Genomic DNA, 25,057 nt, shown 5'->3' with positions numbered 1-25,057 from the left:
TTTATCCAGATTGTTTGTACAAGGGGGTATGTTATGAGCTGAGTTGTGCCCTCCAAAATTCATGTTTAGGTCCAAACCCCCAGTATCTCAGAATATGATTGTATTTGGAGACAGGGTCTTTAAAGTAACTAAAATAAAATGAGGTCATATGGCTGGGCCCTAATCCTATATGATTTAATGTCATATAAGATGATAATATTCTTATAAGAAGAGAAAATTTGAACACAAACCTGTACACACAGAGGAAAGATCAAGTGAGGGCATGCATTGAGAAGGCTGCAAGTCAAGGAATCTGCAAGCCCAGAAATCTGCAAGCCAGGGAGAGAGCCCACAGAAGAAACCAAACCTGCCAACACTCCGATCTTAGGCTTCCAGCCTCCAGAGCTGTGAGAAAATAAATTTTTGTTGTTTAAGCCATGATGTCTGTGGTATTTTATTATGGCAACCCTAGCAAACTAACACAAGACCCTCTTCTTCTTCTTCTTCTTTTTTTGAAAGAGTCTTGCTCTGTCACCCAGGCTGGAGTGCAGTGCTGCGATCTCAGCTCACTGCAACCTCCGCCTCCCAGGTTCAAGCGATTCTCCTGCCTCAGCCTCTGGAGTAGCTGGGATTACAGGCATGCACCAACATGCCTGGCTAATTTTTGTATTTTAAGTGGAGACAGGGTTTCGCCATGTTGGCCAGGCTGGTCTCAAACTCCTGACCTCAGGAGATCCACTGGCTTCGGGCTCCCAAAGTGCTGGAATTACAGGCTTGAGTCACCGTGCCCAGCCCATGGGGCCCTGTTCTGTTACTAAACCTCCAGCATACTTGTGCCCTGGGGAACCTTCCAGCCACCAACCATCCTGTCACCAAGGGTGCCTAGCTTCCTTCTGTCACCCAGCTTGTCTGTTTGCCGGGGGATTGAGGTTTCTTTGGGGATCAGCCTGGTGCCTGCTGTGGAAAAGAGAGCACTTTCAGTCACAGTATTGGCCTCTTGCAGAACTGTGGGCCCTGCAGATCCTCTGCTAGCCCACAAGCTGAGGAAGCAAACCTTTTCACCTGCGGTCTGTCCACAGAACTGGGGAACCTTCTGACCACCAGTCAGCCTGCCCATTAGGGTTTCCAGAGTCCTTTCACCTCACCAACCTCCACAGCCTGCCTTTGTATTGAGGGTATAAAGATTCAGGGCTACCAGCAGTCTGAACTGTCATGGAACCTAGATCCCTTTTAACTTTGATCCCCGTTATGCACAGGGACGCTTAGGGACACATGCCTGACTTGGTGCTGGTACCCTGAGGGTACTTCCAATCATGGTTTGCCCCATGAGCTGGTGCCCTAGATACTCTATCAGTGACCTGACTGCTCCTCCCTGGTATCCTGGAGGTTTGTATAGTCACTAGCCAACTCCCCTGCCATACAACATTGGCTCTATTAGTAAGCCCATTCAGAATGCTAGTGCTCTGAGGCCTTTTTGGACACTGTACCTCCATTGCTCTGGTGACCTTCCACTATTTAGGGTTTGTGGTTTCCTTGTGGCCCCCATTCTGTCCTCTTTTCAGGGAACTGAGGGTTCTTCAGCAACTAGCCTGCCCATGTGATGCAGAAACTAGAACCTTTTCAGTTCACAGCACAGGTCTCTCACTGGGGAACCAAGGGCCCTTCTGGCCTTCAGTCAATCTCTGTGTTGTGGAATCTAGAACCCTTTTCCACTGTCCTTCCCATGCATTGGTATCTCTAGCAACATACCAACCACCAGCCAGCCCTCCCACTGCGGTTCCACAGGTCCTTATAGCCTGCCTGTGTGCTAGGGAACTACGTACTGTTTTGACCATCAGTGTCTCTATAGGCTGTGGAACCCAGGGCCCTTTGGACATTGGTCATTCCACCTTCTTTGTCCCTGGGATTCCTCTGGACACAAGCCTACCAGCACACTTGTGCCTCAGGGGCACTTTTAGAGACTCCTGCCCTTACACCGATGTCCTACTCACCTGTTTAGCAACCAGGCATCCCACACACTGGGTTCCTGGGGGCACTTATGGGCACACTAGCGTGCTCTTGTGCCATGGAACACAAGACCTTGTTGGCCATAAGCCAGCCTGTGTGCTGTGGACATTAGTACCCTTTTGGCCAAGGTACTTCTCATGTGTTAGTGTCCAAGGGGGCCTTCTGCCCTCTACTAAATCCTGTGTGTTTGGAAACAGGGATCATTGGCTATTAGCCATCCTGTCTGATATGGAACTCTTCCAGTTTTGTATCATCCCACCCTCTGCCTCCCCAGGGCTCTTCCGGAAACTTCTGCCCATGCACTGCTGCAAGGTCCTTTTGGGGCCCTTTTGGTGACCAGATAACCCTCACAATAGGTTTCTAGGGGCACTTATGAACACCAGCCTCCTCCTGTGCTATGGAGGCACAAAAATTGGAATATAAGGCCCTATTGGCAACAATCAGTCTAGAGTGCTGGTGTGAGGGAGCCATTTCTGTCACCATATCTCCACTCCCTTTCACTGGTGTTCTGGGGAACCTTAACAACCACTGAATTTTCAGCCACCTAGGGTTTCAGGTTTTCTATTGGCCAAACCTTGTTCATGTACTGGGGAATCAAGGAGTTTCTGTAATCAGCTGCTGTCTGCTGTGGAAATGAGAGCACTTTTGGCCATAGCATAGACCAACCATAGGGAAACCATGAATCCTATCAGCCCTTAGACAGCACATAAGCAGAGGAATCAAGAGCCATTTTGTTCACTGTCTGGCCACCAAACTGGTGTCCTGGGGAAAGTTTTGGCCAGCAGAAGTCCTTCTCATGAGGGTCCCCAGGGTCCTTCTGCTTCCAGCCTGACTTTGTGCTAGGGAAACAAGATTTTGTGGAGTATCAAACATCCTGCGAGATGTAGAACTGAAAGCACTTTCAGCCTTGGCCCATCTTAGCTTCTGTGGCCCCATGGCTTTTACAGACATGTGCCTGGAAACAAATTGGTGCCCCAAAGGCCCTTCGACACAGTGTCCCCTTGCATTGTGCCTTGGATGACCTTTTAGTTACCAGAAAGCCTCACACTAGGTTACAAGGGATGCTTATACACCAGCTGTCTTCTGCACTGTGAAATTTAGAGCCTTATTGTCAACAATCCATCCAGAAAGCTCGTGATTTAGGGCATCTTTGACTGATACACCTTCATCACGGTGGTGACTTGGGGAAGTTTCTGGTCACAAGGCTCACCAACTCCCTGAGTTCTGGAATTCCTTCTAGCACATCTGACTGTGTGCTGGGGAACCTCGGGTTCTTTAGCTACCTGCCGGCCTGCCTGCAATGGAAGGAGAGTGATTATGGTCAGGGCACTGACATCTGCCACAGGAACCCTTAGCCCTTCATGCGTTCAGGAAGTCCACAAGCCTGGGAGTTTTGAGGCCTCTTGGCCACCGTCTGTCCCTCACAGGGGTGTCCAGGGATCCTTCTTTTGTTAAAACAAAATCATTTATTTATTTTTTAATTTTTTTCATTACACAGTAGGGGTATATATTTATGTAGTACATGAGATGTTTTGATACAAACATGCACAACATGGGGAATGGGATATCCATCCCCTCACACATTTATCCTTTGAGTTACAAACAATCCAATTACACTCTTTAAGTTATTTTAAGATGTACAATTAAATTATTGTTGACTATAGTCACTCTATTGTGCTATCAAATAGAAGGTCTTATTTATTCTTTCTCTTTTTTTCTGTAACCGTTAGCCAACCCCACCTCACCCCAGCCCACAACTACCACCCCCAGCCTCTGGTAACCATCAATCTGCTCTCTATGTCCATGAGTTCAATTACTTTGATTTTTAGATTCTGCAAATAACTGAGAACATCAGATGTTTGTCTTTCTGTGCCTGGCTTATTTCACTCAACATAATGATCTCCAGTTCCATTCATGTTGTTGCAAATGACTTGCAAAAGAAACTCATTCTTTTTATGGCTGAATAGTACTCCATTGTCTATAAGTACCACATTACATTTTCTTTCTCCATTCATCTCTAGCTCTTTTATGTGATGGAACCTGCGTTCCTCCTACTAGACTGTCAGCAGGACCAGGTCTTTCCGCCTGGGTCTAATGTACCCTTTCAAGGTCCAGGACTCTTCCCGACATGAGCCTGTCACCTCACTGGTGCCTAAGATCATACTTTTGGACACCATCTGCCCTGGCACTGCTGCCCAGTAAGCCCTTTTGGTGACCAGACTGCCCATGCACTGGAGTTCTGTGGGTGGTTAACAGTAGTCAGACCCTGTGTGGTGGAATGTACAGCCTTTTTGAGAACCATACTTCCAGCATACTGGTGCCCATTTTGGCCCTGTACTCCTAACACAGTAGTGTCATGAAGGCCCTTTCAGCTCTAGACATTTCTGGATTTCCTTCTGGCACACAATACACAAGCATGCCAAGGGCCTGAGTTTTCACCAGTCATCATTTTGCAAGCCTGTTGTTGAAACTGGGTCATGTTGGGTCACAGTACAGGTCACTGCAGGAGTACTCTGGGCCCTTTTTTCCACCAAGTGTCCACCCTTCTCCTATCGAGAGGACCTGTGAAAATACCTGACCATCAGCATGCCCGCTTGCTAGGGTTCTGGAGTTCCTTCTGGCCCAGAATCATCCTGTGTGCCTGGAAACCAAAGGTTCTTCAGCAATTAGCCTGCACATATGATGTGGAAAGGAAAACCCTTCTCTTCCCCACAGGCATGGCTCCAGGGAACCAATGACCCTCTTAGCCCTCAGCTAGCCCATCTGTAATGGCAACTGGAACTCTTTGGTCACTGACTTTCCCATAAATTCTGTCCCCGGGAACTTTCTGAACACCAGATGGCTTGGTCTTTAAGGGCCTCTGGGTCTTCATGGTCCCCACCCTGTCTGCACGCTGGGCAACTGCGATAGCTTTTGGACCACAACCTTCTCTATAGGTTGTGAAGCCTAGAATCTGTTGGGCACTGAGTACACCCCTACCTCTAGGACTCTGGGGCTCTTCTAGACATGTGTTGGACAGTGCGCTGGTACCCTGGAGAACTTCCAGACACATTCTCCCCTTGTATTTATGCCCCCATGGACCTTTTCGGAGACCAGACTGCCCACACATTAGATTCCAGTGAGACCTTATGGGCACTAGATCCATTACTATGGAATTAGGGACCTGTTGGAAATCCCAGCACAGTGGTGCCTTGGAAACCCTTTCGGCCACTCTACCTCCAGAGTGCTTGTGTGTCGGGAAAACTTCAGGCCACCAGTTTTTCCTCAAAATGTAGGGTTGGGGTATCTCTGCCTGTCCCCAGCCCATCCTCTGTCTGGAGAACCTAGGGTTCTTTGGCCACCAGACTATCCATGGGTAGTAGAAATGACAGCATTTTAGGTCACAGTACTGGCCTCTCCTAGGGGTACCATAGGGTCTTTTGGACCTCAGTCTGCCTTACAAGTGAATAAATCAAGAGACATTTGGCTACTGTTCAACAAATTAGTGCTCCAGGGAACATTTCAGGCACCAGACTTTCCATTAGGAGGGTTCTGGCCTTCTTCCTGCTATACACTGCTGGCATGCTGCTAATCCAAGGAGTGTTTTTTTCTTTTTTTTTTTTTTTGTGCCATCAGCCTATTGCCTGCTGTGTCAACTGGAGCACATTTGATCATAGATCAAAGAGATAAATGTAAAACACAAAACATATAAAAACTCCTAGAAGATAGCATAGTACAGAATCTAGGTAACCTTGGTTTTGGCAATGACTTTTAAGATACAACAGCAAAAGCATGAGTCATGGAAGAAAAAATGGATAAGTTGGATTTCATTAAAATTTAAAAGTGCTCTGTAAAAGACACTGTTAAGAGAATGAAAAGACAAGCCACAGACTAGGAGAAAATTTTTGCAAAAAAACATTTTTGATAAAAGACCAGTATCCAAATCACACAAAGAACTCTTAAAACCCAACATTAAGAAAGCAAACATCCAAGTTTAAAAAATAGGCAAATGATATGAACAGACACCTCGCCAAGGAAGTGTTAAATAATTAACATATTAAAAGATGCTCATCATCATATGTCATTACGGAACTGCAAATTTAAACAAGTTACCACTGCACACTTATTAGAATGGCTAAAATCCAAAGCGCTGACATCAGTTGCTGGAAAGGATATGAAGCAATAACTTTAATTCATTGCTGGTGGGTATGCAAAATGGTACAGCCACTTTGGATGACAGTTTGACAGTTTCTTAGAAAACTAAACATACTTTTATAATACAATCCAGGAATTTTCCTTATTGGTATCTACCCAAATGAACTGAAAACTTATATCCACGCAATAACCTGCACACAAATGTTTCTAGCAGCTTAATTCACAATTGACAAAACTTGGAAGCAACCAAAATGCCCTTCAATAGGTGTATGAATAAACAAACCATGGTACATCCATACAATGGAATATTATTCAGCAATACAAATAATATGAGCTATCAAGTCCTGAAAAGGCACAGAGAAGCCTTAAATGCATATTGGTAAGTGAAATAAGGCTACATGCTGTATAATAGCAGAGATTTGACATTTGGGAAAAGGCAAAACTATGCAGACAATGAACAGATTAGTGGTTGCCAAGGGCTCAGAGAAAGGGAAGTAGGGATGAAGAGGTGGAGAATAAGGGATTTTTAGGACAGTGAAACTATTCTGTATTGGTGGCTGTGTGTGGTGGTTCATACCTGTAATCCCAGTGCTTTGGGAGGCTGAGGTGGGAGGATCACCTGAGGCCAAAAGTTCAAGACCAGTCTGAAAAACATAGTGAGACCCTTTCTATATATGTATATATGACATTTAAACAACTGTAATGGTGGATACATGTCATTATACATATGTGAAATCCCATAGAATGCATAACACCAAGAGGGAGCCCTAATGCAGACAGTGGACTATAGTTAATAATAATGTATCCATATTGACTCATCAATGGAAACAAATGTGCAACAATAATAGAAGATATTGATAATAGAGAAAACTGTGTGTATGGGATGGGGAAGCAGTAGGAACTCTGTAGTTTCTTCTCCATTTATCTATAAACTTAAATGTGGTCTAGAAATTAAGTCTACTAATAAAAAAGAAGAAAAATATCAAATCAATAACCTGACTTTACACCTTGAGAAACTAGAAAAAGAAAACTAAAACCAAAGCTAGGACAATGAAGGAAATAATAAAGATTAGAGCAGAAATAAATTAAACATGATAGAAAAACAATATAAAGAATAAATGAAAATAATAGTCGATTCTTTGAAAAGATCTACAAAATTGACAATCCTTTAACCAGACTGACAAAGAAAAAAGAGAGAAGATGGAAATAACTAAAATCAGAAAGGAAAGTGGGAGCATTACTAATGACCACTGAGAAAAAAGGGATTATAAGAGAGTACTATTATGAACAATTGCATCCCAATAAATTAGATAACCTAGATGAAGTGGACAAACTCTTAGAAATCCACAAGTTACCTAAATTGACTGAAGAAGAAACAGACATCTTGACCGATCTATACCAAGTAAAGAGATCTAATCAGTAATTGAAAATCTACCAACAAAGGAAAATCCAGGACCAGATGGCTTCACTGGTGAATTCAGCCAAAGATTTAAAGAAGAATTAACACCAATCTTTCTCAAAAGCTTCCAAAATCTATTTTCTTAGATTGAATAATCACCCCTTAAATAATATATGCAGTTAAATACTGTAACAATAAACTTTTGAAAAACCATTTTTTAACTTTTCTTTCAAGCAACTGGAATCATTTAAGCAATGAGTAGCCTTAACTTAAAATGTATATAATAAGGTAGCTTAATAAGATATAATAAGATAGTTTCTGATCTCCTTGAATTTGAATTTTCTCAATACTGTATATGTAAGACAAAATACAGAAATACGTTGGATGCTGAGGTTGACATAACACTGACAACTAATTGAAAGTGTTTATGTTTCATCAGAACAGATTATTCTTATTTATCTACTTTATATTAGTAAAAATTATGAATCTGATTCTATGCAATAAATGCATATTAGTAAAATACCTCTTGTAGCTGTGGAGTTCCATTTTAGATTTACTTGAAGGATTCTGCTATTAAAAAACAAGTTTAAAACCACTTTACTGGTTTATTCTGCCTTCTTTTAAGATTTAAATTTGATTTTTGAAACATCCTAGGCATTGTTCCTGGAATTATATAATAGTAACTGCTATAGCCTGGTACTCCTCATGTGTGCATTGCTTACATTTCATTGGCTATACTCAGGGCTAAGCAATTGAAGGCAGAAATATTAATAATAGGAGCTAACCAAAGTTTTCATCCTTGAAAATAAAAATCTAAAACTTGTAAATATTTAGCTGTATAATAAATTGGATTAGAAGTAACTCACTGCCTTATATTTAATGGACAATAAGTAAATTTTCATTTTCTATAAACCTAAATTGAAAACCTTTTGCCCTTTAAAGTTGCTAGTTTAAACAAAAATTATTTAACTAAACCCATTTTTGTACCCTCATCCCTTAGTCTATAGGGATCTTGTTAAAAGAACACTCTTCTGCCTCCATCCTTTAGTGGCTTTTGTTTTCAATCAGAGTAAAATGCCCTTCTCCTCCCCCAAACTGGACAGAGGATAATCACATGGCTCCCTTGCAGACATCATTCATGTCTCTGCTCAAAAGTCACCTTAGCGGTTGAAATTTCCTTCTTCACTCTACATATAATTGCAATCCTCCCCATTACCCTTCAGCATATTTTTTTGCTTTATTTTTCTCTGTAGCACTCATTACATGACATATTATACATTTACGTGAATACTTGCTTATTATTTGCCTCTCCTCATCAGAATATAAATCCATAAGGTAGAATTTTTACTTTGTCTCCTGCTGTAACATTAGCATATTGAATAGTGCCTGGCACATATCAGGTGCTCAGTAAACATTTGAATGAATGTATGAACTTTGGATTTCTGTTCTTACAGTTTCTGAAAGTTTGAATTAGATTAAAGCTAATCTAGTCTTCAAATGTATTTGTTCTGCCTAAAGTAATTTTGAGTACATGTATACTGTTTGGGACAATTTTAAATGGACATTTTACGTTTTTCATCATAAGTTTAAATAGAGTCAAATAGGACAAAATTTTGGCATATTGTAAATATTGCTATGTTAAAATAAGTTGCTGCATCACTCTTAAAGAAAAAAAAGCTTCCAAAAATAGGACAGAACACTTTTTCTTTTTTCTTTTTTTTTTGTTTTTTTGAGACGGAGTCTCACTCTGTCACCCAGGCTGGAGTGCAGTGGTGCAATCTCAGCTCACTACAACCTCCATCTCCTGGGTTCAAGAGATCCTTCTGCCTCAGCCTCCCGAGTAGCTGGGACTACAGGCGCGCGCCACCATGCCGGGCTAATTTTTGTATTGTTAGTAGAGATGGGGTTTCACCATATTGGCCAGGTTGGTCTCGAGCTCCTGACCTCATGATCTGCTGGCTTTGGCCTGCCAAAGTGCTGGGATTACAGGCATGAGCCACAGCGCCCGGCGAGAGCACTTTCTAATTCACTCTAGGAGGCTGACATTACCTTGATACCAAAACGAGATAATGTTATCACCAAAAAAAGAAAACTACAGACCAGCATCCCTTATGAATATAGCTGCAAAAGTCTCAACAAAATGCTAGCAAGTCAAATTCGACATCACACTTTTTATTTTTTTTACTTTTTTAACTTTTCAAATAAAAGTTACATGTGCAGGATGTGTAGGTTTCTTACATAGGTAAACGTCATGGGGGTTTGTTGTACCGATTATTTCATCACCCAAGTATTAAGCCTAGTATCCATCAGTTATTTTTCCTGATTCTCCTCCCACCCTCCACCCTCCAATGGGCCCCAGTGGGTGTTGTTCCCCCTATGTGTCCATGTGTTCTCATCATTTAGCTCCGACTTACAAGTGAGATAATGCAATATTTAGTTTTCTGTTCCTGCGTTAGTTTGCTAAGGATAATGGCCTCTAGCTCCATCCATGACCCTGCAAAGGACATAATCTCATTCTTTTTTATGGCTGCATAGGTTTCCATGGCATATATGTACCACATTTTATTTATCCAGTCTATCATTGATGGACATTTTTGTTGATTCCATGTATTTGTTACTGTGAACAGTGGTGCAATGAAAATACGTGTGCATATGTCTTTATACTAGAATAATTCATATTTATTTGGGTATATACTCAGTAATGGGAGTACTGGGTCAAATAATATTTCTGTCTTTAGGTTTTTGAGAAATCACCACACTATCTTCCAAAATGTTTGAACTAATCTACAGTCCTACCAACAGTGTATAAGCATTCCATTTCCTCCATAACCTCGTCAGCATTTGTTATTTTTTGACTTTTTCATAAGAGCAATTCTGACTGGTATGACATGGTATCTCATTATGGTTATGATTTGCATTTCTCTAATGATCAATGATGTTAAGCTTTTTTTCATGTGCTTGTTGGCCACATAAATGTCTTTTTTTGAGAAGTGTCTGTTCATGTCCTTTGCCCAATATTTAATTGGGTTGTTTAGTTTTTTCTTGTAAATTTGTTTACATACCTTATATTATAGATGCTGGATATTAGACTTTTATCAGATGCACAGTTTTCAAAATTGTTCTCCCTCTATTAGTCTGTTGTCATGCTGGTAATACAGACATACCTGAGATTGGGTAATTTATAAAGGGAAGAGGTTTAATTGACTCACAGTTCCACGTGGCTGGGGAGGCCTCACAATCATGGCAGAAGGCAAATGAGGAACAAAGTCACGTCTTACATGGTGGCAGGCAAGACGGCTAGTGCAGGGCAACTCCCACTTACAAAACCATCAGATCTCATGAGACTTACTCACTACTACAAGAACAGTATGGGGGAAACTGCCCCCATGATTCAATTATCTCCACCTGGCCCCACCCTTGACACGTGGAGATTATTACAATGCAAGGTAAGATTTGGGTGGGGACACAGCCAAACCATATCATTCCCATTCTAGGTTGTCTCTTACAGCACATTTAAAGGATTATAAACCATGACCAAGTGGAATTTAACCCAGAAATGCAAGAGTGGTTCAACATAAGAACATCAATTAATCTAATACATCTGATTAATAGAACAAAGGGGAAAATGCATAATCATCTCCATCGACATGAAAAGAATTCACCAATTCTTCATGATAAGAATTCGCAAAAAACTAGGAAGAGAAGAGAATTTCTTCAACATAATAAAGTATGTTTATTTAAAAAAAAAAACCAGCTAGCTTCATACTCAATGGTTAAAGACTGAAAGCTTTCCCCTAAGCTCAAAAACAAGACAAGGATATCTGCTTTCACCATTGCTATTTAACATTTTACTGGAATTTCTAGCCAAAGAATTTAGACAAGAAACAGAAATAAAAGGCATCCAAATTGAAAAGGAAGAATCAAAACTATCTGTATTCGCTTATGACATAATCCTTTATGTAGACAATCCTAAAGAATCCTGATATGGTTAGGCTTTGTGTTCCCACCCAAATCTCATCTTGAATTGTAATCCCCGGGTGTTGAGGAAGATACCTGGTGGGAAGTGATTGGATTATGGAGGCGGTTACCCCCAATGCTGTTCTCATGATAGTGAGTGAATTCTCATGAGATCTGATGGTTTTATAAATGGTAGTTTTTCCTGTGCTCACACACTCAATCTCTCTTTCCTGCCAGCATGTGAAGAAAGTCTTTGCTTCCCCTTTGCCTTCTGCCATGATTGTTAGTTTCCTGAGGTCTCCCCAGCAATGCGGAACTGTGAGTCAATTAAAACTCTTTTCTTTATAAATTACCCGGTCTCAGGTATGTGTTTACAGCAGTCTGAAAACGGACTAACACAAATCCACAAGAAAACTATTACACCTAATAAATAAATTCAGCAAAGTTGCAGGGTACAAGATCAAAACATAAGATTCACTTGCATTTTCACACACCAGCAATGAAAAATCTGAAAAGGAAACTAAAATCAATTCATTTATAATAGTATCTAAAATAATAAAACACATGGGAATAAATTTAATCAATGGGGTGTAAAAACTGTACACTGAAAAATACAGAACATTGCTCAAAAAATGTCCTAAATAAATGGAAAGACATCCGGATTCATGAATAGAGAGACTGAATATTGTTGAGATGTCAGTACTACTCAGAGCGATCTACAGATTCCATACAGTCTCTATAAAAGATCCCTATAAAAACAGCTTTGGTTCTGCAGAAGTCAAAATGCCAATCCTCGACTTCATATAAAATTTCAAGAGATACACATAGTCAAAAAATTTTTGAAAAACAGTGTTGGAGGACTCATTGTTTCTAATTTCAAAACTTACTGCAAATCTACAATGATCAAAACAGGGTGGTACTGCCATAAGGGTAGACATATAGGACAATGTGGCAGAATTCATATTTCAAAAACTGACCTATGCATCTATACCAGTTGCTTTTGACAGGAGTGACACACTCATTCAACAAGGGAAGAATCGTCTTTTCAACAGATGATGCTAGGACAACTGGATTTCCACATTCTAAAGAATGAAGCTGGACCCCTCTACATCACACCATATACAAATGTTAACTCAAAATAAAGCAACAACTTGAATATAAGTGCTAATACCATAAAGCTCTTAAAAGAGAATATAGAAATAAATTTTATGACCTTGGATTTGGCAATGGATCCTTAGATATGACACCAAAACCATGAGTAACAAAAGAGAAAAACAGATAATGAACTCCATCAAATTAAAAACTTTGGTGCACCAAAGTACACTATCAAGAGTGTGAAAAACAACCTACATAATGGGAGAACATATTTGGAAACTATAGATCTGATAAGGTTTAATATCCACAATATATAAAGAACATCTACAACTCTAAAACAAACAAACAACACAGTAAAAAATTTGCATAGACATTTATTCAAAAAAAAACAAATGGCTAATAGGCTCATGAAAATATGTGCAACATTAGTCATTAGGGAAATGAAAATCAAAACCACAATGGTATACCATCTCACACCTTCTAAGACAGCTATATTTAAAAATTACAAATGGAAACTAATGAGTGTTGGCAAGAATGTGGAAACGTTGGAACCCTCATATATTGCTGGTGAGAAGGTAAAATGATGCAACTGCTAGGGAAAATGGTTTGGCAATTCCTCAAAAAGCTGCACATAGAATTACTAATGAGCCAGCAATTCCATTCCTAGGTGTATAACCCAAGAAATTATAGCAGATACTCAGATACTTGTTCTGTTCAATACTTGTTAGATGTTCTTTGCCGTATGATTCACAAAAGAAAAAAATGAGGAAAAAATCTAAGTGTCCATCTAGATGAACAGTTAAAATATGGTATATGCATACATGTTATTCAGCCATTAATAGGAATGAATTTCTGATACATGCTGCAACGTGGAGGAACCTAGAAAATATTGTGTTAAGTGAAATAAGCAAGACCAAAAAAAAAAAAAAGGACACATATTGTGTGATTCCATTTATATGAGGTGCCTCCAATAGGCAAATTCATAGACCAAGAAAGTGTAATTGAGGTTCCCAGGGGATGGGGAGGATAGAAAGAAGAGTTATTGTTTACTAGATACAGAGTTTTTATTTGGGATGATGAAAAAGTTCTGCAAATGGATGATGATGGCTGTACAACATTGTGAATGCACTTAATGATAGTGAATTGTACACTGAAAAATGGCTAAAAGGGAAATTTTATGATTTTTTTAATTAGTAATATATTAATAAAAACTGTTGAATTATACCCTTAGGGGGCTGAATTGTACAATATATGGATTCTATCTCTATTCAGGTGTTCAAAAATTTTTCATTCTTTGCAAAATCGCTATACTGTTTTCCAGAGAGGTTGTACTAATTCACATTACCACCAACAATGTATAAGTGTTTCCTTTTCTCTGAATTATCACCGACATCTATTATTTTGTGGCTTTTTAATAGTAGCCATTCTGACTGTTGTAAGATGAGGAGGGAGAGGAAAGTGGGATGAGAAATTACTTAATGGGTACAGTGTACATTATTAGGGTGATGGTCATACTAAAAGCCCAGACATCTCCACTACACTATGCAATGCATCCATGTAACAAAATTTGTACCTTCAAATTTATACAAATAAAAAAAAAGATAGTTTCAAGCTGTTTAGGTAACTGAAAACCCTAGACTTATCTAAATTATTTAATAAATATTTATTACATACCTAGATCATTAAAAATGAGACAAAATACTGAACTAGTATTATAAATAATTGTAAGCACATATATATGGATTTGTTAATGTATGTTTTCATTTTTGCCAAACTAAGAAATTGTACTTTAAGGATGTAGTACTATATCTTTTGTGTAACAACAACAACAAAAAGTTGTTACATGTATATCTTGAAGTTTTGCTAGTTTGCTATAAAATGCCAATGTATGTCAGACAGTTCACAGTTATCCACCTCCAAGTTTATTTGTAAAACAGAATTACCAATGGTAAAAGTTATAATCAACATACTGTACATATGCAAGGTAGGCAGAACATATTTGTATTAAGAAAAAGAGAATAGTTTTGTCCTAAGTCAAAAAACTGTTCCAGAATGGGAAAGAAAAAAGCATAGGATAAAACCTGAATAGATACAAAAAGTTATAAAAAGTCATAGAAAGGGAATTTTGCTGTGGTCAAAACAAAGGTTGATACATTTATTTATAATATTTAGAAAGCACTTTAGTGTCAAATGTACTGATACAAAACTGGAATTCGCTTTTCTTTCTTAAAATGACAATATTTTCTTGAACTACTGGTCTTCTCTTAAGAGGTTGTAAAAGGTTTTTCTTTGCTTTCTGAGTATTCTACTTTGATGCTAAATAGTCTGTGTCTTATCAGAGTAATTTCTGATGCTTTGTGTTGACTTTATCATGTCCCTGATTATTTAAGGAAAAAATTCATCTCACATTCTTTCCTTTTATTCTTTTTTTATATTTTATTTTTTATTAGAGATGGGGTCTTGCTATTCTGCTCGGGCTGGTCTAGAACTCCTGGGCTCAAGCAATCCTCCCACCTCTGCCTCCCAAAGTGTTGGGATTATAGCAATGAGCCACTGTGCCCAGCCTCATATCACATTTGAAAGCATGAAGGTTTTTTACAATCATGTTACCTCCTATATTTACTTTTAAATTTTTCATTGTCATTTGGATTAAATAAGTAACCAAGTATTGTTTTCCACTCACCCATGATTTTATTTAATATAGTGTTCAAACCTCCTGACAAATTTTGGCATTTTATCTTCCTGAAACTAGATCTTAAATGTTATCTTTAGCACCTAAAACTTCCTTTGCATCCCAGAAGGTCCCTGGAAAATCACAAAGGAGTTGTTCTTTCACCTTGTTCAAAGGGAAATACTAGAAATAATTAGGTTTATTTGAAATGTTGTGAGTTGCATAGGAAGGGTTGTAAAATCAGAAGAGACATTTAGCCTTTCCCAGGTTAAATCTTTATTGGGTAAAATGTTATTAACATAAATATTTCAGAAATTATATGAAGTTCCTAGAGAATTTTCCACATCCTTGCTGTCCATGATGTTTCTATTTATCAGAGTCCTGGTGTTATTTCACCTAATATTAGACAACAGTATAGTGTTATTAGTGATAAGTTTAATTATTTTTAAAAACATTAACTTGGTCACAATTTTACCTCTTAATATTGAATCTAGTATGTTCTAGACCAGTGGTTGTCAACTGGGGATTCACATCACTAACCTGTGGAGTTTTCATTTACTGTTGTTTAGGACCTACTCCAGACTGACTGAATCTCTTTACTTGATATCCTTGATACACTCTTGGTATATTCTAACCAAATACCTGATATACTTATGGTGTGTTATGTCTCAGGATTCTTACACATCTGAAGATTTTTTTCTGTTTAATGATTGTGCTTATTCATTTTAATGAATGAGATATTCACTCTTCTTTGAAAAGAAGGCTAATCATGTTATAGATATTTTGTATAAAACTTTTTTGATTGACATTACTGGAATTTTCACGCCACAAAACAACAAAATAAAGAAAACATTTGCAAACTGTGTATCTGATAAGGGGTTAATATTAAAAATATAAAAGGAACTCATACTAACCAATAGAAAGAAAACCCATAACCCAACTTAAAAATAGGAAAAAGACCTGAATAGCTATTTCTCCAAAAGAAACATAAATGACCAACAGGTATGGGAGAAGGTGCTCAACATCGCTAATTATCAGAGTGATGCAAATCAAACCATAATGAGATATCACCTTAAACCTGTTAAGATGGTGATATTGCTTGTCTCTGTGACCTCACCCAAATCTCATGTTCAATTGTAATCCCTAATGTTGGAGGTTAGGCCTGGTGAGAGGTGATTGGATCCTGGGGGTGGATTTGCCCCTTGATGCTACTCTCATGATAGTGAGTGAGTGCTTGTGAGATCTGGTTGTTTAAAAATGTGTATCACCTCCACCCTCTTTCTCTTCCTCCTGCTCCAGCCATGTGAGGTGCTTGCTCCTGCTTTGCGTTCCACCCTGTTTGTAAGTTTCCTGAGACCTCCTCAGAAGCCAAGCAGATACCAGCATCACGTTTCCTGTACAGTCTGCAGAACAGTAAGCCAATTAAACCTCTTTAAAAAAAATAAATTATAGCAATGCTAGAACTGACTAATACAGATGACTATTATAAAAAAAAAAAAGAGCCAGCAAGTGTTGGCAAGAGTGTGGAATAAAAGTCAACTCTAGTACACTGTTGGTGGAAATGTAAATTATTATATCCATTTTGGAATGTAATATGTAAGTTTCTCAAAAATCTAGAAAGAGAATTGCCATATGAATCAACAGTCACTCCTCTGAGTATATACTCAAAGGAGATCAAATCACAACTTTATAAATGTATCTGCACTTCTTTGTTCACTGCAGCATTATTCACAATAATGAAGATATGCAAATAACCTAAATTTCTGTTGATATATAATGGATAAAAAAGTAGTGGTGTGTATATATACATAATTCCGTAAGATTATGAACAAATGGCAGAGTATCCTTTTTTAAGTCTGAATAATATTCATATGGTTGTTCAGCCCTAGAAAAGGATATTCTGCCATTTGTGACAACATGGATGAACCTAGAGGATACTATGCTAAGTGAAATAAGCAGGACAGAGAAAGAAAAATACCGCACAATCTCTCATTAATGAGGAATCTAAAACAAACAAATTGAATATATAGAAACAGGGAGTAGAAAAATGGTTACCAGGAATGGGGGAGTAGGGGAAATGGGGAGACATAGGTCAAAGGGTACAAAGTTGCATTTATGTGAGATGAATAAGCCTAGAGAGCTAATGTACAATATGAGGACTTTAGTTAATATATTGTATGGTATATTGGAAATTTGCTAAGAGAGTAAAGTTTAGGTACTTATTACCACACAAAAAAGAAAGGGAACTATGTGAGATACAGATGTTAATTTATTTGACTATAGTAATTACTTCACTATGTACATCTATATCAAAACATCATGTTGCACACTTTAAAAATATACAATAAAAAAACTACAGCCTACCTTTATGGATTATCAGATTTTGGTCCTTTTCATTGTCTTTGAGCTACTTCTTCCCTCTTTGTAACTGATGGATATGCAAATTCTATCTTGTCTGGTAGATATTCAATTGACTTTTATTCCCACTGTGGGAGAAAACAGTTTTGTTACCTATCTATAAATTGGATTAGATTCTAAATTGTCAACCCATACCAAATTTTCCATTCTTCCAGTTTCTTTCAATATCTGGTTACATTACTTCAAAGTAACATTTTCAATTTTTTTCCCTCCTTCTTACCTTGGCATCACCAAGAACTAAAACATGACTACCCAGATCCTTATAGGGACTTCAAGTAAACCCATCGCTGTCCTTTTCCCCAGGATCTGAAGGAGCACTGTTACTTAAAGCCCAAACAACTTGATATATACCTTAAAGGATTCATTACTGGCAGACTATGCATGGGTAGGATTTCTCACTGGACAAGTGTCTGAGACACTAAGAAAGTCTGGTAGAATGATCATGCAATGCATGTCCTTATAAGTGAGGTTACAAATACTGTGAACAACATTACCAAGAGTACCAGAAGCTCAAAGAGCAATGCTGCATAATCAAAAGATTTTCATCCATCAGCCTCTTGGAATTTGCTTAACTGGATACCCTTAGTGCTCAACTCCTGGCTGTTTACTTTCATATAACCTTTTATAATAGCACGTATCATTTTCATTTTGGGTATCACTCTTTTAAGATGCCTCAACTGCAAGACCCTAAAACAACTGAGCTCTGCCAGCTGGCCCAACAGATGGTTCAACTGGTCCTACAGGGACAACCCCACCAAGAAAACATTTACCCTGAGGATTATTTCACTTAGCTATTCCCTGTTTCTGGTTCCCCTTATCCTTGAGTTGTTCAAGAACAGTCTCTGGCTGAGTCTGTCTTGAAAAAGAGCAGGTACTGACAAGATTGGTGAAACTTTGTGCTTGACTTAACTAGACTGACTTGACTAGGACAGCTCGATGCTAATTTTTATGGGAACATCCTGCACTATAACTGCTTTGCTCATCTCAGTCCCAAACCTTTGCCTTGTGCTTAAACACAAACACTTCTTGCCTCAACATGCTCCTTATTGCAATATTTTATACAGTTGTGTAATTTCAAGCCCTCTGGCTAGCAGTTGTAGCACTCACTTCCTCCTTCCACAGCCACCTATCCCATGGTATCTGCATATAAAAGCTTTGCTTGCCTACTCCTTCCCTGAGATGTTTCTACATTAGGCTTTGAGCATATCCCTAGTGCAACTGTCCTCCTTTTCCCATTCCAATAGTCCTGGTTAAAGTCTTTCTGTATTAATTTCCAGACATGCTTTTTCTTGCCCTGGACATGACTTTCCAGTCACCACTCTGCCTATGTGTTGAGTAAACTTGGGTCCTTCCAGTCACCTTCCATCCCACACTGAAGTAACTGGGCTGTTTCAGTTTTCTACCACTGAGCTGCCCACAAGTTAGAGAACCAAGGGCTTTGGCGGCCATCCTTCTCCTGTTCTGGCAACCAGGCCTTCCTTCTAGTCACCAACCTGCCTGTGTGGTATGGAACCTACAGCCTTATCAGCAACCAACTGTCCAGCCGGCTGGAGCCTCGGAGTCCCTTCCAGCCACCAGGGAAGCCATATGTTCAGACCTTGTTGCCCTTCCAACCAACATTTTTCCTGGGCGCTAGTACCCCAGGGTCCTTTCTGGTCAGCAGCCTGTCTGTGGTCTGTAGAACTTCAGGCCCTATTAGCAATCATGCATGCCACATACTGATGACCCTGGGTCTTTTCCAGTCACTGACCCACCGCTTAGCTCTGGACCCAGTGGCCCTTTCAATCATTGTATAACCTGTTGGGGTTTCTAGCCACCACCATGCCCATCCGCTGGGGAACCCGGGCCCTTCTGGCCATCTACCTGCTCACGTGCTGTGGAAACAAAGTCCTTTCCAGCCTCTGTCTGGACCTCATACTGTAGCCCCAGGGGGCCCTTCCAGCCACTTCCTTCCTTCATGCTGATGCCCCAAGGGGCTTTTCTGACCACCAGCATGCCAGTACACTAGGGTTTTGGGGACCTTCGGGCCACCAACCTGCCCTTGCGCTTGGAACCTGAGATGCTTGCACTAGTCTGCCCAGGCGCTGGAGACCATGCCAGGCCTGAAGGCAGCTATATGTGCTGATGACCTGATTGTCATGGTGGTGGCCTCACTGATCCTGGCCACCCAGAATCCTGACTCTGTCCAGCCATTTGGTTACTGCAGTGGTGCCAAGAAACTGTCAGATGTCAGAATACTGTGGAGGACAATAGGGGCATCAGAGGTGTGAGAAGAAGCTTACAGGGATGTGAGCTCAGCCACCTTGGCTTCATGGAGACATGCAGATCCAGGCACCTGGTGCAGCCTCCCTGCACCAAGTGAAATAGATCCTGCTTTGCTGTGACCATGACAGAACAGGCCTTGCTGGGTCCAAGCAGATGAGCTGAGCATGGACAAGGCCAGGGGGAGGTCAGTGGCCAGCAAGTGGGCAGTTGGCCTACTGCCAGGCCTGGAGAGTGGGTGAGAAAAAAACTAGAACAACGTACTTCATTTGGTCAGCAGGGAGTGCCCAACAACGTTTTGAAAGATGCTCAGGTCATTTATAAAAAGCTTAACGCATATAACTATAAAAAGACTTCTCTCAATTTTTGTCAACCTTTTAAAAGACAACTTTAAATTCTCATTTTGCCACATCTAGGCTTCTAGAAATAAAGAGGTTGCTGATATATGGTAAAAATGTAGAGTTAGAAAATCACAGGTCTTGTACGTGACCTTTTGTTTTAAAAAACACTTAAAAATAAATATCTTCTGGAAATGACTTCTGGAAATATAACCACTAAAAGGGATATCAGGAGCAACACATGACCACATTTGTTTGATGGGTTAGAGGAGGTGGAGCAAAAGGCCTTGAGAAGAAAGAAAGAAAGGAGTTCATATTTAGAGGATATTTCACGTTATAACAAATTCATTCTGTGTATGCATTTTTTCTCCCCCAACCCCCACACCCTCCTCAAAACATTTCCCTTACTTTTTGTTATTTTAATTATTTTGTTATTATTTTTCATTGACATACTTGTACATATTTATGGGGGTACAGTGTGATATTTTGATACATGTGTACAATGTGTCATAATCAAATCTGAGTAATTAGTAAATCCATCACTTAAAACATTTATCATTTCTTTGTGCATTGGTTCCCCTTTTGTTATACAGTTAATAATATTACTTTTCTTTGAAATATCTAGTCTTCCTACATGTTCTTAGATGCACAAAGCATGTCAAAAACAGTGAAATAAAATAACACATTTCGTTAATTATATTTGTTACAATTCAGATGAAATCATATCTTTTGGAAATGAAATAGCTAAACTTCCTTTGTGAGCAGTATTTTGTTTTACCATATTTATAAGTACATAATGGACAAATAAGTCCCAATTTTGCAAACTCTATTATCTAGATGTTAAAGAATTCATAGAATTCTTTGAATTCTTTATTCTTATTCAAATAAAGATTAAAGAATACCAATAAAATTCATATTCACATTCAAATAAAGAATTCTATGAGTTATTTAATTGTATGAATAAAACTAAAACATTGTACACTTTGTATTGGAACTCGCAGGAAAGCATGTCTTCTGTAAAACACTTTTGGAAATAAATTTAAATTTCTTCAACCACCTCGGAGCAATACACTTGTCTATACTTGTCCACTGAATTGATGGTGAAGAGGGTGAAGTGAGGAGGACATGGTTGAAGACCAGGATGGGAACAATTAGGAGACACCTCAAACCATAAGCATCATTTTGTGTGTGGAGTTTTGCTTAATGGCACTCTGCATAAGTGGACAAATAAGTTCTTATTTCAGATATGCAGACTTTCTAAATGTTCAGAAATGTTCAATGTATTTATACTAGTGGTAGTAAAATAAGACTTTCATATGAAATTTAGGTGAAATGTTATCTTTGAGGAAGGAAATGGCTAAACCTTCTCTTGGAGCAATACTCTTTGTGCTTATGCACTTGGTCTGGCAAGAGGGAGGAGAAGACAGCACTCAGGGCTTTGTGACAATGTGTTCATAATTGCACCATTTTAGACAAACACTTGTCCTCTATGTACTGCATATGTCGTCTTACTTTGTTAGTCTATGGTGTTTATAATGGACTAACCAGTTTTGATTTTACACCTAGTCTTTCTAGAATTTAAAGAGGCTGCCAGTTATGACAAAAGTAGAGTTAGTAAGCTTTTCTTCATTCTTGTTAAATTTCATATTCAAGAACATCTTCTGAAAATAACTTAGGGAAATACAATTGTTAAAACCACATCTTAGCATTACAAATGCTTATACTTGTCCATTCAGTGGACAGAAGTGAAAAGGAGTGAGAAAAAGAAACTTTCTAGGCCAAATTGTCCTTATTTAGAGGACAATTTCAGATTATAGGTTTATTACATCTATATGATTTAGTCAGTGCTGTTGTGTGTATAGTGAACAAACTTAAGTCCTAATTTGAAACATGTAGTATTTATAGATGTTAGAAATGTATAACATATGTTAAAAGTATATAACATATAACCACGGATATATGTATGCATTTCTTTTGACCATAAGTATAGTTTTGGACTTATGAATACATTGTAAGAAAATTCAAGGGAAACATCTTTTACCTATTATTTTAATATTATAGACCCAATAATGAATTATTTTAGAAGCATTATACCCCTTGTACTCCATTGCTTTGTGTCTCATTTTAAATTCAACATTAAGACAATGCAGTACAGGTTGAGCATCCCTTATCCGAAGTGCTAGGGACAAAAAGCATTTCAGATTTTGGATTTTGTTCAGATTTTGGCAAATTTGCATATAAATAAGATTTCTTCTGGATGGAATCCAAGTCTAAACATGAAATTTGTTTCTGTTTTCTATACATATTATACATATAGCCTGAAGTAATTTTATACAATACTTTAGGTAATTTTGTGCATAGAACAAAGTTAGTGTACATTGAACAATCAGAAAGTAAAGGTGTTGCTATCTCAACCACTCATGTAGAAAATCGCGTTGTTTGGCATCACAATTATTTTTGACTGTATTTATGTGCTCCTGATAAGAAATTATTTGCTTACACTTATTCATGCATAAGTACTTAGTAAAAAAATATCATATACCATTGGTACAGTGGAAAATAATTTGTTCAGGGTAACTAAACAGCACAGTAGCGACACCAGAATACCTGTATCAACTGTTCAACAGCAACAACAGCAGGCTTTCAGTCTCCACCTGTGATGCTGTGTTTTGAGTAAAAGGATATTGTACGCTGTATTTTATTTTTTAGGTGCAAAGAAACATCAGAAGCAGTTGAGGGACCAGGAAGTGGGTTCTCTAGTGATGAGGAGGCATTCTGCTGGATGGCTTTTAAAAATATTCCCTCCAGAGTCATCTGCCTCTTTAAGAATGTTTTTTGTCTCAGAGGTTTCTCTTTGATTTTATAAAATGACATGATTTCTTGGTCTGTTATGAATGTACACTGCTCTATTCCTTCAATAAAACAATCAGACATTTCACCATATTGTCTATAGGCACTTTTTCTGCAATTTTTGACAATGTCATCTTCATCATTTCCATGATCATGATCACCTTGATTCAATAAATGTACAACTGAAGCCACATTATTGATGTTAAAAACTTCTTCAATAGCCACTTCTTCCACCTTAATGGTGGACTGTGGACTCTGAAGGTATACTTTTTGCATATGTAAGGAAGTCAGACATCACTTTTTAAAATTTGATATTTGGAATCCTTTGAAGTCACCACCTTGTTCATCACCATTACTGAACATAGTCGCAGGCTAGAATAAAAACAACTGTGTTTTTAGTCACTGTATTAAAAGCATTAGCAACAGCATATAAGGCATTCTTCATGCTAAATTCCTTTTGAAAAATCTTTCACACCCTCACTTCTGTTCAGTGCTGCTAGCATGCTGTTCAAGAAAGTGTTTTTATATTTACCCTTCATTGATCTAAAGATACCCTGATCACATGGCTGAGTTAATAAAGTCACATTTGTGGGAAAGTACATGACATAATTTTTCATAAGAATTTCAGCTGGAAGATAAGCAGAATAATTGTCAAGGAATAACAACATCTTGCAATTGACACGCAGTCCAGCTTTGCGGCAGGGAGCATGAGATGCTGGTAGAAAATGTTTATGAAACCAATCAGAAAATATTTCCCTGGTAATCTATGCCTGTTTGTTAGTATGATAATGGATAGGTAAGAAATTAATTTCTTGAAAACAGCGAGGATGCAAGCTTTTGCCAACGACAGCACGCTTACACGTAGGTGTGCCTGCTGCATCAGCACATCTCAGCACAGTTACTCTATCCTTGGCATCCTTAATTCCTATGCTGTCTGTCTCATCAGCTGTAGCCAGTGTCTTTCTAGGGCAGTAATGCCCCAACGATAATGTTTCATCAGCATTATAGACTTGTTCTGGTGTTGTATTTTCTTCAGCTATAACCTTAGCAAACTCATCAATGAATTTCTCTGCTGCTTTGTGATCGGCAGATGCCTTATCATCCCACATTTAAAAAATATAATGCTGTGTATATCTTAAATGTCTGCAACAAGCCTGTTGAATATTCACTGTTCCCTTCAATTTTCAGTTCATTGTAGATCTTTGCTTGTTTCATAATTGGCATACTGTTAAAGTGGCTCATGTTCACTGCAACACTGACAGATGCACTCTTTCAGTACATGATCAGGATCTTCATTATTAGCTTTATGCAGTGTTTTTCTATTTTTAATTAACTTCTGTTCATCACTCTCAGCACAGAACTTCAATATTTTATTTTTCTGTTTTTCAGGTTATATAAGGTGGTCATTTCAACACCATATTCTTCTGTAAGTCATTTCACACACTGCTGTCCAGTTTCTCCAACAGCTTGACTTTCTGTGACATATATAAACATAAATGCTTCCTCTTTTTCTTATCACTGTTACCCACAGGGGTGTCTGCAGGCCTTTTTGACACTTTCAATAATATATTTACACCACAGTACAGAGAATGCACAGTGAAGAGTGCACGTAGGTTTTAGCCCTGTGCCTGGCATCATGGAGAAACTGCTGTTGTTGAGTCTGGCCTGCATACATGCCATTTCATTAAACTTCTTGGGCGTGCTTGAGGAGGGAACTCTGGATATACCCAGAAAAGATATATTGCAACCGAGGGGGGCTGAGGAATTATGTTTTTCCATTAGAGATGCTAAAGAAAGTGTATATCGTGCGTATGCATTTTGCTTATAACACTCACATGAGGTCCAGTATGGAATTTTCCACTTGTGGTGTCATGTTGGCACTCAAAAAGTTTTGGATTTGAGAGCATTTCAGATTTTGGATTTTGTGCTTAGGAACACTCAAACTGT

General features: G+C 38.7%; 1 long non-coding RNA gene across 1 annotated transcript in view; it reads right to left on the bottom strand.

The window, feature by feature from the left end:
* LOC105373151 (uncharacterized) overlaps window positions 1-25,057 on the bottom strand; it is a 67,568-nt gene that overhangs the window by 15,727 nt on the left and 26,784 nt on the right. The window contains exon 3 of the long non-coding RNA XR_950539.2: window positions 17,607-17,728. This is a non-coding gene — a long non-coding RNA (uncharacterized LOC105373151). The remainder of the gene's footprint in view (window positions 1-17,606; window positions 17,729-25,057) is intronic.

This window comes from Homo sapiens, chromosome X (assembly GCF_000001405.40).
Source record: "Homo sapiens chromosome X, GRCh38.p14 Primary Assembly".
In the NCBI taxonomy this organism is placed as follows: domain Eukaryota; kingdom Metazoa; phylum Chordata; class Mammalia; order Primates; family Hominidae; genus Homo; species Homo sapiens.
Note: the sequence above shows the minus strand (reverse complement) of the source record. Positions and strands in the feature narration are given on the sequence as shown.